The following is a 15,668-nucleotide window of genomic DNA, read 5'->3' as shown; positions in this document are numbered from 1 at the left end:
TGGCTCCCGCCTGTAATCCCAGCACTTTGGGAGGCTGAGGCAGACAGATCACCTGAGGTCAGGAGTTAGAGACCATCCCAGCCAACATGGCGAAACCCCATCTCTACTAAAAATACAAAAGTTAGCTGGGCATGGTAGTGCATGCCTGTAATCCCAGCTACTCGGGAGGCTGAGGCAGGAGAATCACTTGAACCCAGCAGGCAGAGGTTGCAGTGAGCCAAGATCGTGCCATTGCACTCCAGCCTGGGGGACAAGAGCGAAACTCTGTCTCAAAAAAAAAAAAAAAAAAAAAAGTCAAGGGAGATGACTAGTATGTGAGAATGAGAGTGCTGCAGCCACTGGGGCACATGTTTTTTCTGACCAAACGAAGAAACAGACAAAAATAAAGCAGGAAACCCCCTGGGCTTTAATTTACTCACATATAACAGATGCTTGTTGGCTCTTGTTTCTTGCAGTGCATTGAATATTTTTATTATACCGTGGCGGGCATTTTGCTGTCCAACAAGGCTCTGAAGCATATCTGAAAAATTAAGTGTAGATTCTATGCTGCTATTGATAAAGTGCTCAGTGCATAGCTTTGCAGTGAAAGGAATACAACATTATACACCTTCAGTCAATAAACACATGGAGGCATGAGAAACATGAATGGTCAGTTCTCTCAAATGCTTCAGGAAAGAATGTTTCAACATAAGGCACTTATACAAATTACAATTTTAATATTTTTCAACTACGAATTTTAATAATTAAAATGTTAATATTTTGCTAAAAATTAAGCTCTCAAAACACGATACTTTAGCAGGATTTCCAAAACACAAAGTTTATTATCTGTTCTAAAACATTTTTCAAGTTCTTAACATTCTCAGTATAACTTCTTAGCAAGTGACAAAAAATGGCTTAAAAGAGTATGATCCTTTTTTTTTTCATTGTAAAGAATGTTTCCTGCAAGACATAAATGAAAATCACCTCAGTGGGGTTCACATTCCCTCAGATCTCTATGCTTTTCAGGCTAATAGCCCAGGCCTCACCTGGAATGTTTTCAAGCAGCTTTTGCTGTGCTCTCTGTTTTGTTTCCTGACTTTGCTCTTTGCTTCTGATTGTGGTCGGTGGTGCCAACTTCCCATTTGGCCAAAAAGCATCCCGGAAAATATTGATGTAGTAAACCAACATTTGCTCACTGAAAATCCAGCTGACTGTGTCCCGGATTTGTCTTTTAAGAGAAAAAGATTTCTTGGATGAGGTTTTTAAAAATTGTGTACTCTATTCTCAAAAGGCACTTATCAATACGAAGGTTAAGATACAGCCTGATCTAAGTGTTTGATGAATAAACTAGGAATTGGATTTTTTAAACTCTGGCTCTGAAAGTTATATATATTTTTAATTATTATTATTTTTTGAGATGGAGTCTTGCTTTTTCACACAGGCTGGGGTGCAGTGGTGTGATCTCGGCTCACTGGAACCTCTGCCTCCCAGGTTCAAGTGATTCTCCTGCCTCAGCTTCCCGAGCAGCTGGGACTACAGGCACGTGCCACCATGCCTGGCTGATTTTTGTATTTTTAGTAGAGACGGGGTTTCGCCATGTTGGCCAGGCTGGTCTCAAACTCCTGAACTCAGGTGATCCACCCGCCTCAGCCTCCCAAGGTGCTGGGATTAGAGGCATGAGCTACCGTGCCTGGCCCATTTTTTTATTTTGGTAATACTGCATGAGCAGTTATTCCTGGAGATAATTTTGTCATTGGCACTAACTTCTCCAAATGTTGGCTGTGTTCAATCTATAAAGACAAGAACTGAGAGACTGATTTGTCTGCAGACTGCAGCATTTCCATGAAGTGGTATAAGGTGAAAACATAAATCCATTTAAAGACTGTTGGAAGTGGTCTGGAAAACCTCCCTGAGGTCCTGAAGTTCCGCAGGAGGAGCAGGCTTTCCGTAGCTGTCTTTTAGTGTTGCTATGGCAGAGAATGCTGGGCAGGATACTCGGATCCAGATGAAGCACTTCATATGCCCATGAGGCAAGGAAAAAGATAGTCCCTTTCAAAAATACACTGCTATGTGGCCAATTTCAAAATTCCCCAAGAATGAAGACTGGGTGGCAGCCATTTGACTTGCACAGTTATGCATTTTATTTGGTTACCCAGGTCTTCTACACAACCCCATTTCGTTAGTCATTAGACAGATTCTATATATATATATATATATATATTATTTTTTTTTTGAGACGGAGTCTCGCTCTGTTGCCCAGGCTGGAGTGCAGTGGCACAATCTCGGCTCACTGCAACCTCTGCCTCCTGGGTTCAAGCGATTCTCCTGCCTCAGCCTCCCGAGTATCTGGGACTACAGGCGTGTGCCACCATGCCCAGCTAATTTTTTGTATTTTTAGTAGAGCTGGGGTTTCACTGTGTCAGGATTGGCCCACCTCGGCCTCCCAAAGTGCTGGGATTACAGGCGTGAGCCACCGCACCCGGCCAGTCATTGGTCACATTCTAACCAGTTACAGGTCCTCTGCTGTCAAGAGACTACTACACACAGTTCAAAGAGCCCAAGAGTAGTTGTGAGGTTGGGAGGAGAAAAGCCTCTCCATTGAAAAGGGGAAAAGAATCATCTTAGACTATTTGTGCCAGAAAGACCTCAAATTTCAAATTCAATTCATGAATAATAATATATTAAAAAGCCTTTTAAGAATCTGACTTCCAACCAGAATTTTAAATGGACAACACAAGGTTTCAGAAATAACATCTGCAGTAGATGTTTCAAGTCCAGTACTTTGCACATAGTAGTCGGTCACTGCTATGAGTCAAACTACACTGTTATCTCCATCTATAACTGCGTATCTCCTAGACTCTTCTCTTTCTTGGAACTGTGCAATTCAAATCTAGACCATATAAAATAAGTTTATTGATTTAACAGAACTTGTGGTTTAAGAGAGAATCTGCTGACCTGCCTGCCTAGCTTCCTAAAATTTCAGTTTACAACTTGAGATTAGGAAGCGACTCTTAATAAAGGTCATCATCTAAGTTATTTTCTACTGATTTAGATCTGACTTTCTATCAGCTGAAACCTGTCTGATGCTTTTGAAGCAATTCTAGCATGTGAAATTGTAGTTACTGCAAGGCAAGAGACACGCACTGTGCTGCTGCTGAATTCTGTCATGAGTCATCATCTGCTGAAGGCAAAAACAGCAAAGAACCATGTGCGCCATGATCGCTACTTGATAAAAAGCCCACTGAAATGGACAGCCTGGAAATCCTCTACATGTGCCTCTTCTCCATCCCTGTGAAAATTACTGCCCGATGTATGCACCACTCACAACATGCAGCCGCTCATTTTATAATTAACAGCCAATATCATAAATAGGAGCAATGAAAGCATGCATGATTTGCTGACACTGAAAAGGAAAATAGATTAGCAAGTCCTGAGTCCTGAGAAAAAGAAGGCCATTTTGGGAATTTCTTTTAATTACAGGTGCATGCACCCACCATGCCCAGCTAATTTTTGTATTTTTAGTAGAGATGGGGTTTTGTCATGTTGGCCAGGCTGATCTCGAACTCCTGACATCAAGTGATCCACCTGCTCCGGCCTCCCAAAGTGCTGGGATTACAGACGTGAGCCACCGCGCCTGGCCTTTTTTTGGGAATTTCTTTATCTAAGGCTTGTCAATACAAAAGAGATTTGTTTGCCTTAGACTAAAACAAAAAATTAAACAGGCCATTTTTTCTGAGTAAAACAAAAGCCTATGATACTTAGGTCAACTAAACAAGCCTCTGACGGGCAACTAAAACTTTTTTTTTTTTTGAGAAAGGGTCTTGCTGTTTCATTCAGGCTGGAATGCAGTGGCTCATGGCAGCCTTGACCTCCTGGACTCAAGCAGTTCTCCCGCCTGAGCCTCCTGAGGAGCTGGAATCACAGGCATGCGTGTACTACCACACCTAATTTTTTTATTTTCTGTAGAGACAGGGTCTCACCATGTTGCCCAGGCTGGTCGTAAACTTCTGGGCTGAAGCAATATGCCCGTCTCAGCCTTCCAAAATGCTGGGATTATAGGCATGAGCCACTGTGCCCAGCCAACTAAAACTCTTTTTTTAAAATCTTAAGTAGAAGTAAACTTTGTTTCTGACCACAAGGAAAATATATTCATTGGCAAATCAATAAAAAAATAGCAAATGTTCTTTACAGTGTTTCCTATTAAAATTTATAAGCTTTATATGGTAAAACTATTATACTAATCTTGTACAAATGTCTGACCACTAAATCTTTCACTTGGGAAAATCTGATAATTTCATCTTAAAACTTATTTTGTTATATAAAAAAGTGATTTTTTTTTAAATTTCTAGACGTTGACTCATATTCCTATTCTGCAGGAAATCATAATGTTTATCTTGTGAACAATTCTGGGTATAGAGTTACCATATAAAAGATCTTGATAACAGTACTTCCAAATTCCAGGCACAGAGATGAAGCAGGCACCAGACCAGGGGGCCAGGTTAGGTCAGCTAACGGGTCTGGTGACTTCAGACAAGCAGTTGATCTCTTTGGTTCCACTTCTTCACCAACAAAATGAGAAGTGAGACTAATCGCTAGGACACCCTTTCAGGCCTAAACCGATCTAAATAATTCTATTCAACTTCTATTGGCTACATGACTTTGCAGTTATGAAAAATTCCAATAATTTCTTAGAAACTAATAATAATTGACTATATTAATTGAGTTCTCAATAACAAACCCAGGGCTTTCATAAATGCATGATCAAAATGTGGATCACTTTTTATGAGCAACATTAGAACACTCAGTGAAAGACTGGGATACATATATAATGCCTTTATGTATATGGATAATATAATATAGTTTAGAATAGACATATGGCTTGTAACAGTGCTAGATGACAGGGCCACACACACACCCCAGTGGATACGCAGATATTAACTAACAAGAAGAGTTAGCACTTCAGTGCTACACAACTGTGAAAACCTTAATACATGGTCTGTATTTTCCTCTAAGTAAACGCCTGCCATGTGATGCTCATCCTACTTGCCTTCTGGCTTAGAGTCTGAACCTTAAACTGATTCTCATTATTTGACATAAAAACATTCTACTCAAGATACTCAAACTCGTCGTCATGATTAAAGGGGAGCTCTACAGAGTACAACCTCCTGACCCTCGCCAGTCAGAGTGTGGAAGTAGCTCAAGCTTTTCTTATCTAACTTGCCATATGCATTCTGTGGGAGAAATTCTTTTAGAAATCGACTCTCCTATCCAATCTTAGAATCATATCAGAAACGAAAAGTGAGAGAAAATTAAAGACTTTCAGTTAAATGACTGGCTGCTAGATCATAAGGTAATTTGACTGTCAAGGCAAAAGAGTAGGGCATGGATCCAAATATTAATTTCATACAACTCACTTGTTGATGGTTCTTCCAAAAGTGACCTGAACGAGGGCAATTAATGTTCTTCTCACCCATTTAAACACTGAAACAGAAACCAGAGGAAAACTTTTTATCACAGGGCATCACAATTTGGGACATTTTCATAGCTGTACAAAGCATAAATCTTACCACTTAAGATGATTTCAGTCCTGCCATCAAGTCATGGCTATGACATCTGCAGAATTTGGGTTTAGGTCAGGAAAACTCTTCTGACTAGGCTTTCATTTTCTACCAAGCAACTGATGAGATGAAAGCAGAGTTTTTACAGTGTTTCAGTGCCTCCCAACAGCTGAGCTCGCAAGCGGAAAGAGTGCTTCATCTGTCCCTGGGCTATTGACAACGTGTCTGTTTTCCACCACCACACAGTGTAATTCCTATTTTAGATTTCTGTCTGGCTTGCTGAACCCACTTTTTGAACACACTGCTGAATGAGAAACATCTGTAGTCAAATATTTTGAAATATTAATGAACGGATGGGTCTAACTGTTCCTGTTTGAAGCGGTTTGCAGATCACTGTGTACTTTATATATACTACGCATTTGGGAGAGGATAAGTGAATGGTGAAGAGGCAGGACCCTGAATGAGAAATGAATTTGGCCGTCTCCAGTGCCACCCCCATAGCAGGAGGGCACAAGTCACCTTCTCTGAACCCCAATTTCCTCATCTGGAAAGGAAGGTATTAACATGTGCCTTTCTTTGCTCTGAAGGTCTTTCCCCGTGTGTGAGAAAGACTGTGAAGGGTTCTACAGACCTAAACTTTTATTGTTAACATAGAGACACATTTTTATAGGTATAGAAACTGAACATAAACCAACAGAAGGCAAAGAAATGCTATGAGGATATTTTAGGTCCACAAATTGGAACCTAAACCAAAATTTTCATTTATATATTCACCTCCATCTATTGAAGTGTTTGGCTACTGACATACGAGGAAATAAGAAATTCAGACTCAGTCATAATGGAGCCAAGAGTTCGGGGCTCTTGTACCCACTAAGAAAAGCTAACAATGGCAAATTCACAGAAGTCTCTGTACAAGGGCAACCACACAAATAGAAATCATAGAAAACACAGACTTGGCACTAGACATTAATATACTCTAAAGCCATTTCTAATTTTTTTAATGGATCAAAATATCCAGTTAAAGTAGTATGAATTCTTCACGTAAAGTCAAGTCTTGGAGTCGGAATCAAACGTCAAAAATGTCTTAAACTTTTTGATGGAATTTGCTGGAATGCTGCCAAGCATGTTCATTTTAGGTTGGCATTGAGGCTGGGATGAGCATGTCTATCAGTGATGATAACTTCACTTTGTCTTTCTAGGGCAGGAAAGAGGTGGCTCATACCTAGAGGGTCTGAGGACAAGTGCAACTCTAGGAAGAGTGCCTGACGACCAAGGGGTTATTTTTAAAAAGGGGGCCAGGGGTATTACTGGTCCCTTTTTGTAAACTAGAGCAGAAACCAAAACTCATTTTGCTACAAATTTTCTATCACTGATAGCCCCTTACTCTATTACTTTTCCCTCACCTTCCCTAGTCCCCAGTAACCCCCCGATACACACACACACACACGCGAGCCCCATTACTCCAAAGGCTTGTTTGCTCAAAGCCACAGAGGCAGCTGCAGCAGCACTAGGATTCTGCTGACGACGAATAGATCACATCTCATTATATATGAGGTTCTATTTATTCTCTCTGAAATGCCACTAGCAAAACCGAATATGTTCCGAGCAGGCAGAGATGGAGGAAGTGCATGCCGCAGGCATGGTGAGGAGCCCTGCTCCAGCTGATACTGGCTCTGACATGCCTACTGTATCTCTTAAGCTCTGTACCAATAGCAAAGACAAAAACAATGATGAAGCCTAGGACAGTGTCCTCATTCTTATCAACTCTGTAGGAAACTGGGGAGACTCATGATTTAATGGGCCACATTTCACCAAACAAGAGTCAGACTTTGGGTGGATTACTATTTGTCTATATTGAATCAAGTTAAACATCACTGTATATGTCTTAAAGTGTCTCAAATATTAAAAAGCTATTAGGTTTTTTATCTGAAAGGATTTTTCATATGTGGATGATATTCCATCATATAGATATTTCTTAAATAAGTTATCTTCCATTTCTAAAATTTATCTTAGTTCCAACTTTTCATTATTGTAATTATGCTAAAATATCCTTATGTGTAAATCTCTGCCTGCACTTTAGAATTTAACTTTGTCTATTGCTTAATGTGAATTACATTTTTGGACCCTTAATCTGTAAATTCACTGATGGCAGAATCTGTATCTGATATGGTTTTGTTTCCCTACAGATCTGTATCTAAAACATATGCTCTCAAAGTGTTTGATGACTGACATTTTATATTCTCTTAGCTTTGGCTCAGAAGCTCTCAAAGTCTTTGATGATTGACATTATATATTCTCTTAGCTTTGGCTCAGAAGGAGAAAAAGGTCAATGAGCAAAGGTAATTCATTCTGGCACTTAACATTTTTCTTGCCTATTCACTCATCAGTGCATCCATCCAGGCATTTTACTGATCCCCTACCATGGGTCAGGCATTGTAGTAGATACTGAGGATTAAGACACAGAAGACAAATTCAAGTTGCACTTGAAATTTTTTCATCTGTTAATAATTCTTTAAGTGACATGTTAAGGGATTTATAAATGAGAAGGGATCCACAGCCCCATTTCCTATGTAAGACCAACTGGTAGCCTACTCCTTTGTCTCAAGGGAAAAGGTGCTGATGTGAACGGACAGAGCCCAGGACATGGACGCTGCACTATTTGGCTGGCTGGTGCCACTACTGAGTCTTACTAACCCTTGCTCTTCTCATTTGCTTCCTCTTCGAGGTGGTCAGGTGTGCCCGTGGGCACCTGCCATATCTCTAGCTGGTACTGAGGCTCTAGGTATGACAAAGTCTACTGGTGTCAAGATTTAGAGTGTTGGGAGCTGTGAATGTGTGGACGGAGAGTAGCATTAAGTCCTATTCAACGCTCAACACTAAGCCATGGAGTCCAGTTTACCTTTCACCAAGGTGATGCTTTCAGGGAGAGGCACTTGTATAGCTCTTAAGGAAATGGAACTTTGATCCCCATTTTACAATGGTTTCTTCTACGTACATCTCTCCTTGAGGATTCACTAGGGTAGGATTTCTCAACTCCAGCATTACTGTCATTGGGGGCAGGACAACTCTGCCGCGGGGCTGTCCTGAGCACAGTAGAATGTTTAGCAGTATCCCAGACTCTACCTGCTAGATGCCAGTAGCACCCCTCACTCCAAGTTAAGACAATCAAAAACATTTTCAGACATCACCATATGTCCCTCCTTCCCTCCATGAAGAACTACTGCTCAAGAGGAAAAAAGGTAGCTGAAAAATAGGGTGGAGGCATTCCCACGTCCTTGGCCATGGAATTATCCTAACACCAACACTCACCTTTAACAACAGGATTCTTCTGTGCTAAGCAAAACAGTTTTCTGTATAACTTTTAGTGACAAGGCAATGGAAGCTATGCCAAGTCACATAAAAAGCAACGTGAAGGATTCTAACCTTCTGTAGTCAGAGGAACATGGGGCAGAGTAAATCAGGACGCTATGTTACGTTAGGACAGAGATGATATCTGTCTTGGGGTTGTATATATAGCATAGTATCTGGTTGGCTCTTTTTTTTTTTTTTTTTGAGACGGAGTCTCGCTGTTACCCAGGCTGGAGTGCAGTGGTGCGATCTTGGCTCACTGCAACCTCCACCTCCTGGGTTCAAGCAATTCTCCCACCTCAGCTTCCCAAGTAGCTGGGATTACAGGCATGCGCCACCATGCCCGGCTAATTTTTGTATTTTTAGTAGAAACGGGGTTTCACCATGTTGGTCAGGATGGTCTTGATCTCTTGACTTCATGATCCACCCGCCTTGGCCTCCCAAAGTGCTGGGATTACAGGCGTGAGCCACCGTGCCCGGCCTGGGTTGGCTCTTAAAAGGCTATGTTGAATGAATGGATGCATGAATATAAATACATGTCTGATGCATTTCAGCAATAAAGGGATATTAAATGCATGTGAATGTACGATTATATATACCACTTAACTAGCAAATACCACTAAATAATAACAAAGAAGCTTACTTCCTCGAAGTTCAAAAATCTCCCCAATCAACATGAAACATGGTTCAGCCAAGGCGTCTTTCCTCCCATCCACATCATCACCATAATCTGACAGGTCACTGTCCTCCTCTGTCTCCTCCTGGGAATACAGCAAAGTCATAGGAAGCAGATAACTTATCCAAGAAAATTGGTAGAGTTGTTCTCCCTCTTCAAGTGTAAATTCCAAACTATCTGCTCGTATTTTAGCCTTAATTCTTTAGTTTTCATGCAGAAACTACCATTTTCAACACAGAGGACAGATTCAGAAAAGCTTGATTCTCGAGCCTTATTCAAGGCTTAAAATAAGCTAATTTAAAAAAAAATCTGTCGCTGTATTATAATCAGTGAATTAATAGACAATAAAATAGTTTTCTAACCATTTTGAATTTCAAAACTAAGGCTTTTAACTTATTTTTTATTTTTCACTCCCTTAAAACAGCAGGAAGTAAATAATTTTAAATTCACTGCTTTTTTTCAAACATGCATTTTAAAGTAATTTAGTTATTTTTAAAGCTGTGACTTAAGCTTTTATTCTGTCCTTCAGCTAGTCCCATTTCTTGATCTGCGCATCAGCAGGTTTCAGTTAAAAACTCATGACATACCAGGCAACAGGATAATGCAAATGAGTGTGAGGGGGATCTAGACTTCTGTGGCCCACTGCCTTCTGGGGAGACTGACAGACACACAGGCAGGTGTTATGATAGGGCAGGAGACAGTGCTGTCCCAGAGCTGCAAACATTAGGTGCTGGAGGGCAGCTGAGGATGGGCACTGCAGTGTCTGTGTAGAGGTAGGAGCTGAAGTGCGAGCCCAGGCAGGTCTTTGGGAGATACTTACTTACATCAGGCGAGCAGAGGAAGGGACAGGGAAGTCATAGAGGCTGGAGGAGTTCCCTAAAAACAGCATCACAGAAATCCAGCAACAGCAAACGCCTCAAAAGAGGCTGAGAAAGGTAAAGACTGAGAGGAAGCCACTGGCAGCTTCAGAGTCACTTCATAGAGTGACTGAGTCATATATTAACTCCAGGGGTTCAGGAATAAAAGGGAGGTGAGACAGGTAAGCAGCCAAGTACAGACGGACACATGAAGGAAAGAGGTGGGAGATGCTTGGGGGGCCGTGGGTAGATGTGTGGACTGGAGCAGGTGTGGGTGTGCTCTGTGGGACGTGCTGACTTCCGCCCCAGCTGAGAATGCAGAAGAGCAGCATGCTGCTTTTCACCATCAGTTCCTCTGTCCAAACTCGAAGCCACCTCTGGTGAAGAGGCAGTAGCATTTGGCAATGGACTGAGGGGAAGCCACATTTCAGAGCTGGTCCTGTGCAATTTGCTAGAGGGCCAGGCAAGGCGCCTCCGTGGTGTGAACAGGAGTGCACAGCCTACTCTGGGGGAGAAGTCTGGGGTTCAGAAGATGAGATCGAAAGCTCTGCAGGCTCTATACTTTCCCTTATCCACATACCATTGCCAGATCATCCTGCTTCAGAATATCCCATGCTTCTTCATGCCTGAGAATACAGCCTAAACTCTCAGCCTGGCGTGAACCTTGCCCCTCCCCACTTCTATGCTGTACTTAATCTTCCATTAGAGCACGGCACCAACCCTCCAGTCCAGGCCAACGACCTCCGGCCTGTTCCATAAACACAACCTCCTCTACTGTGAACCTTCAGCATGAACCCCCCCACCCCGCAATGACGGCCCGCACTTGGCCTCCCCCGACCTGGGGACTGGCGCCCCGTGTGTAGCGGGGCTCCTGCAGAACTTCCTACTCGCATTTCACTTACCAACTCCGAAGTGGTAAAACCACTCTGTCCTCCCCTGCAAGTCACTTGGAAGAATTAAGATACAGAAATACAAGCAGGTGCCTCAAAATGTGACAGTGCTAATGACTGAAAATAGAGGGATTTGCTTCCCCCCATGAGGAGCATGAGCTTAGTATCTGCTGAAATACACTACAAAAGTGGTTCACTCTTTCAACGGCTCACCTCCTGGTGGGAGAAGAAGTCGCGAGGAAGTCTTTCCAAAAATGAGGATAATGAAAAAGAATTTTTTTTCCCCTGCACGTCGATAACCTTGAGGTAGTCAGGAGAAGGGCTCAAGAAGGCATAAAGTGCTTCACTCTGACACAGTCTTTCATCTGAAAGCAGATTCTATGGAAGAAAGAGGATTAACTGCTCCAGTGTGGGAAACTATCTGTGTGGCTGGGAGCTACAAGTAAAGGTGAGCGAGGCAGAGCTGTCACGAATTTACTTTCATCAGACTTCTGAACCGAAAACCACTTCCCTTTCCCCCTGAAACAAACTATATAAGATCAATTCTTAATGATCTTAATGGCAAACAATCCCCTCCAGGTTAACTAGTAGTGCCCAAATCACTCTGCTCATGGGAGATAACTATGCAAAAGGCAGAACTCACTCCGCTTTGCACTGCTTGGTGCAACAGAAAATTCTTACTTTACAGCTCACAGATCCCAGGCGCTACCACTTTTGAAATACAACTTTCAGTCATCTGTGTTTGACCAACTTAAATTTTTGCAAATTACACATGGATACCTCTAAATTGCCCTTTTATGGTTATATTCAGACTTTGTACATCAGCTGAAAAAAAGAACTTTGAGTTTTCACATGGTGGCACTACCTGCCAGGCAATAGTTTCATTTCCCAGTGCTGCCACTTTCCAGGCAGTGCGCATTTACATAATTATGTAACAATTTCTTTTCTTTTCTTTTTTTTTGAGACGGAGTCTCACTCGGTCATCCAGGATGTCGTGCAGTGGCGCCATCTTGGCTCACCGCAACTTCTGCCTCCTGGGTTCCAGCAATTCTCCTGCCTCAGCCTCCCAAGTAGCTGGGACTACAGGTGCACACCATCATGACTGGCTAATTTTCGCATTTTTTGGTAGAGATGGGGTTTCACCATATTGGCCAGGCTGATCTCGAGCTCCTGACCTCGTGATCTGCCCGCCTCAGCCTCCCAAAGTGCTGGGATTACAGGCGTGAGCCACCGTGCCTGGCCATATATAACAGTTTCTACCAGCCCTCAAACTGGAAAGTTCCCAAAGTTCTGTATGTACTTACCTGACCTTAGGAGAGAGTAAAGAAGAACATAAATCGAGCTTGTCTATGTACAAGTGCTATGGTAAGACAGCAGAATTAACAATGTGACCACAGAATATTTACACATCTAGTATTATAAGACACTGGGCTTAGGAATATGTAAACCTATAAGAACTGTCAGCCACATAGGGAGATGGAACACTCAGAAGCCAGCTATGCCTCTGATGACAGAGTGTGGGGGAGGTGGAAGTTCAGGTCTAGTTCCAGAGGGGTTGGTCCATGATGGCAACATCCTATTTGTTTAGATGGCTAATGACCTGACGAACGCTATGACCCTCCCTAGAAAAATCACCTCTGAGAGGGCCCAATACTGCCCCGCTGGGGACAAGGGGTCCACGGAACACCATCAGCATTCACGTACCCTGCAGGAGACTGGCCTGGAGGTGGGCAGGCCCTGCCATGGCCATTGAGAAGGAGATTAAGGGGGATGGGCAGTGCCCCTACTGCCCTCCCTGTCCCTGAACCCTGCAGACAGTCTTCATTCGTTTTTCAGAATTAAATGGTCAGTTCAACCTGTATGTGAGGATGGATCAGGAGTAGTGAGATGTTCTCCCCCATCTTGATGTCCTTCACTCATCTACTCTCTAACATTTTACAAAATAGCAGGATATACTAATGGTTAAGTCCCAAACTTAATACAATCAGCATATTAATAGGGAAATCATTACAGATGTAAATCTTTGGCCTTAAATTATATTCAAATGAAGGAAAACAACTCAAACAATTCAACAGCAAAACACACACACACACAATAATCCCATTAAAAAGTGGGCAAAGGACTTGAATAGACACAAATGAAAACATAAAAATGGAAAACAGGTATATGAAAAAATGATCAACCTCATGAATAGGGAAATATAAGTCAAAGCCAGGAGATACCATCTCACACCAGACAAAAGAAAAGAAGTGTTGGCAAGGATATGAAAGAAAAGGGAACCCTTGTACACTGTTGGTGGGATTGTAAATTAGTACAGTCATTATGAAAAAGGGTATGGAGGCTCCTCAAAAAATTAAAAATAGAGCTACCATAAGATCCAGCAATGTCAGTACTGGATATACATCCAAAGGAAATGAAATCAGTATGTCAAAGATATATCTGCATTCCCATTTAAAGCAGCACTATTTATAATAAAGAGGCAAGACATGGCATCAACTTAGGCGTCCAACAGATGACTGGATAGAGAAAACGTGGTATACATACATCAAGCTTGTCCAACCCACAGCCCGCGGGCTACATGCAGCCCAATGCAAATTTGTGAACTTTCTTAAAACATTATGAGAATTTTTTGTGATTTTTTTTAAGCTCATCAGCTGTCGTTAGGGTTAGTGTATTTTATGTGTGGCCCAAGACAATCCTTCTTCTTCCATTGTGGACCAGGGAAGCCAAAAGATCGAACCCCCCGATATACATGATGGAATATTATTCAGCCATAAAGAAGAATGAAATCCTGTCAATTGCAACAACATGAATGAACCTGGAGGACATAAGTTGAGTGAAACAGACTAGGTACAGAAAGACAAATACTGCATGATCCCACTCATCTGTATAATCTGAAAAAAAATTGATATATTAGAGGTACAGAGAGGTGGTTACCAGAGACTGGGGAGGAAAGGATGGGAGAGATTGGTCAGTGGCTAGAAAGTTACAATTTAACAGGAGGAAAAAGTTCTGGTGTTCTGTTGCTCAGTAGGGTGACTATGGCTAACAGTAAAGTATTATATATCAAAAAGGAGCTAGAAGAAAGGTTTTTTAATGTTCTCACCACGAAGAAATGATAAATGTGGCTGGGCACAGTGGCGCACACCTGTAATCCCAGCACTCTGGGAGGCCGAGGCAGATTGGTCACCTGAGGTCAGGAGTTCGAGACCTGCCTGTCCAACATGATGAAACCCCGTCTCTACTAAAGATACAAAAATTAACCAGGTGTGGTGGCATGAGCCTGTCTGTAATCCCAGCTACTTGGGGGGCTGAGGCAGGAGAACTGCTTGAACCCAGGTGGCGGAGGTTGCAGTGAGCTGAGATTGCACCACTGCACTCCAGCCTGGACAAGAGAGCAAGAGTCTGTCTCAAAAAAAAAAATAAAGAAATGATATACATGTATCAAAATGCCAAACTGTACCTCATAAATATGTACAAGTGCAATGTCAATTTAAAGAATTCTTTAAAGGATACAAATATTCAGAACATTTTTTTTCAGTCTCAGAATGTCTAGCTTCTACTGCAGAGGCAAAACATGTTTTATGAGGCAAAGTTCCATGCCTCTGAGAACTTCAGGGCTTTAAGATCCAAAGTGTGATTAACAATTATACTCTGAATATAGATGGTGCAGCAAAGGAAAAAAAAGTGGTTGTTATTGAGGACAGTACACCTTTGGCCTTATTATTTAAAAACAGACTGATAGAAAATAATAAAGTGTTTAAAGGAAATTAAGAAAATATCTTCAGGGCCTTGGAGTAGGCCAAGATTTCTTAATAGGTGCAAAAGGCATTAACCATAAGATAAAAAAAATGATAAAGTGGGCTAAATTAAAATTGAGAACATCTGTTCATTAAAAGCAATCATTAAGTAAAAGGCAATCCATAGAAAGGGGGACAATATTTGTAGCACGTAAGATCTGACAAGGAACTCAGATCCAGAACATGGACAAACCCATAAAACATTATGGAAAGGATGAGCAGCAGCACAATAGAAAAGGAGACACAACAAATGGCCGGGCACAGTGGCTCACGCCTGTAGTCCCAGCACTTTGGGAGGTCGAGGTGGGCAGATCATCTGAGGTTGGGAGTTTGAGACCAACCTGACCAACACGGAGAAACCCCGTCTCTACTAAAAATACAAAAATTAGCCAGGCGTGGTGGCAGGCGCCTGTAATCCCAGCTACTTGGGAGGCTTAGGCAGGAGAATCACTTGAACCCGGGAGGCAGAGGTTACGGTGAGCCAAGATCGCGCCATTGCACTCCAGCCTGGGCAACAAGAGCGAAACTCCGTCTCAAAACAAAACAAAACAAAACAAAAC

The 15,668-nt window shown here is 42.1% G+C and overlaps 1 protein-coding gene across 8 annotated transcripts in view; it reads right to left on the bottom strand.

Annotated features, from left to right (window-relative positions):
• Positions 1 to 15,668, bottom strand: part of SNX25 (sorting nexin 25) — a 174,406-nt gene that overhangs the window by 15,512 nt on the left and 143,226 nt on the right. For 5 of the 8 annotated variants that reach the window (NR_186775.1, NM_001317781.2, NM_001423234.1 and 2 more), the window contains 5 exons: positions 11,522 to 11,686; positions 9,529 to 9,646; positions 5,394 to 5,460; positions 1,026 to 1,207; positions 420 to 520 (listed from right to left, as the gene is read on the bottom strand). Coding sequence is in view for 7 of the 8 variants with exons in the window: in NM_001317781.2 (NP_001304710.1) it covers positions 420 to 520; positions 1,026 to 1,207; positions 5,394 to 5,460; positions 9,529 to 9,646; positions 11,522 to 11,686 (633 nt within the window). In the remaining variant the exon portion in view is untranslated. Of the gene's footprint in view, positions 1 to 419; positions 521 to 791; positions 940 to 1,025; positions 1,208 to 5,393; positions 5,461 to 9,528; positions 9,647 to 11,521; positions 11,687 to 15,668 lie in introns of those variants that run through there. The other 3 variants (NM_001378036.2, NM_001378035.2, NM_001378037.2) reach the window with 3 other exon arrangements.

This window comes from Homo sapiens, chromosome 4, assembly GCF_000001405.40.
Source record: "Homo sapiens chromosome 4, GRCh38.p14 Primary Assembly".
Classification (NCBI taxonomy): Eukaryota; Metazoa; Chordata; class Mammalia; order Primates; family Hominidae; genus Homo; species Homo sapiens.
The sequence above is the reverse complement of the archived record's forward strand: the minus strand, read 5'-3'. Positions and strand labels throughout refer to the sequence as shown.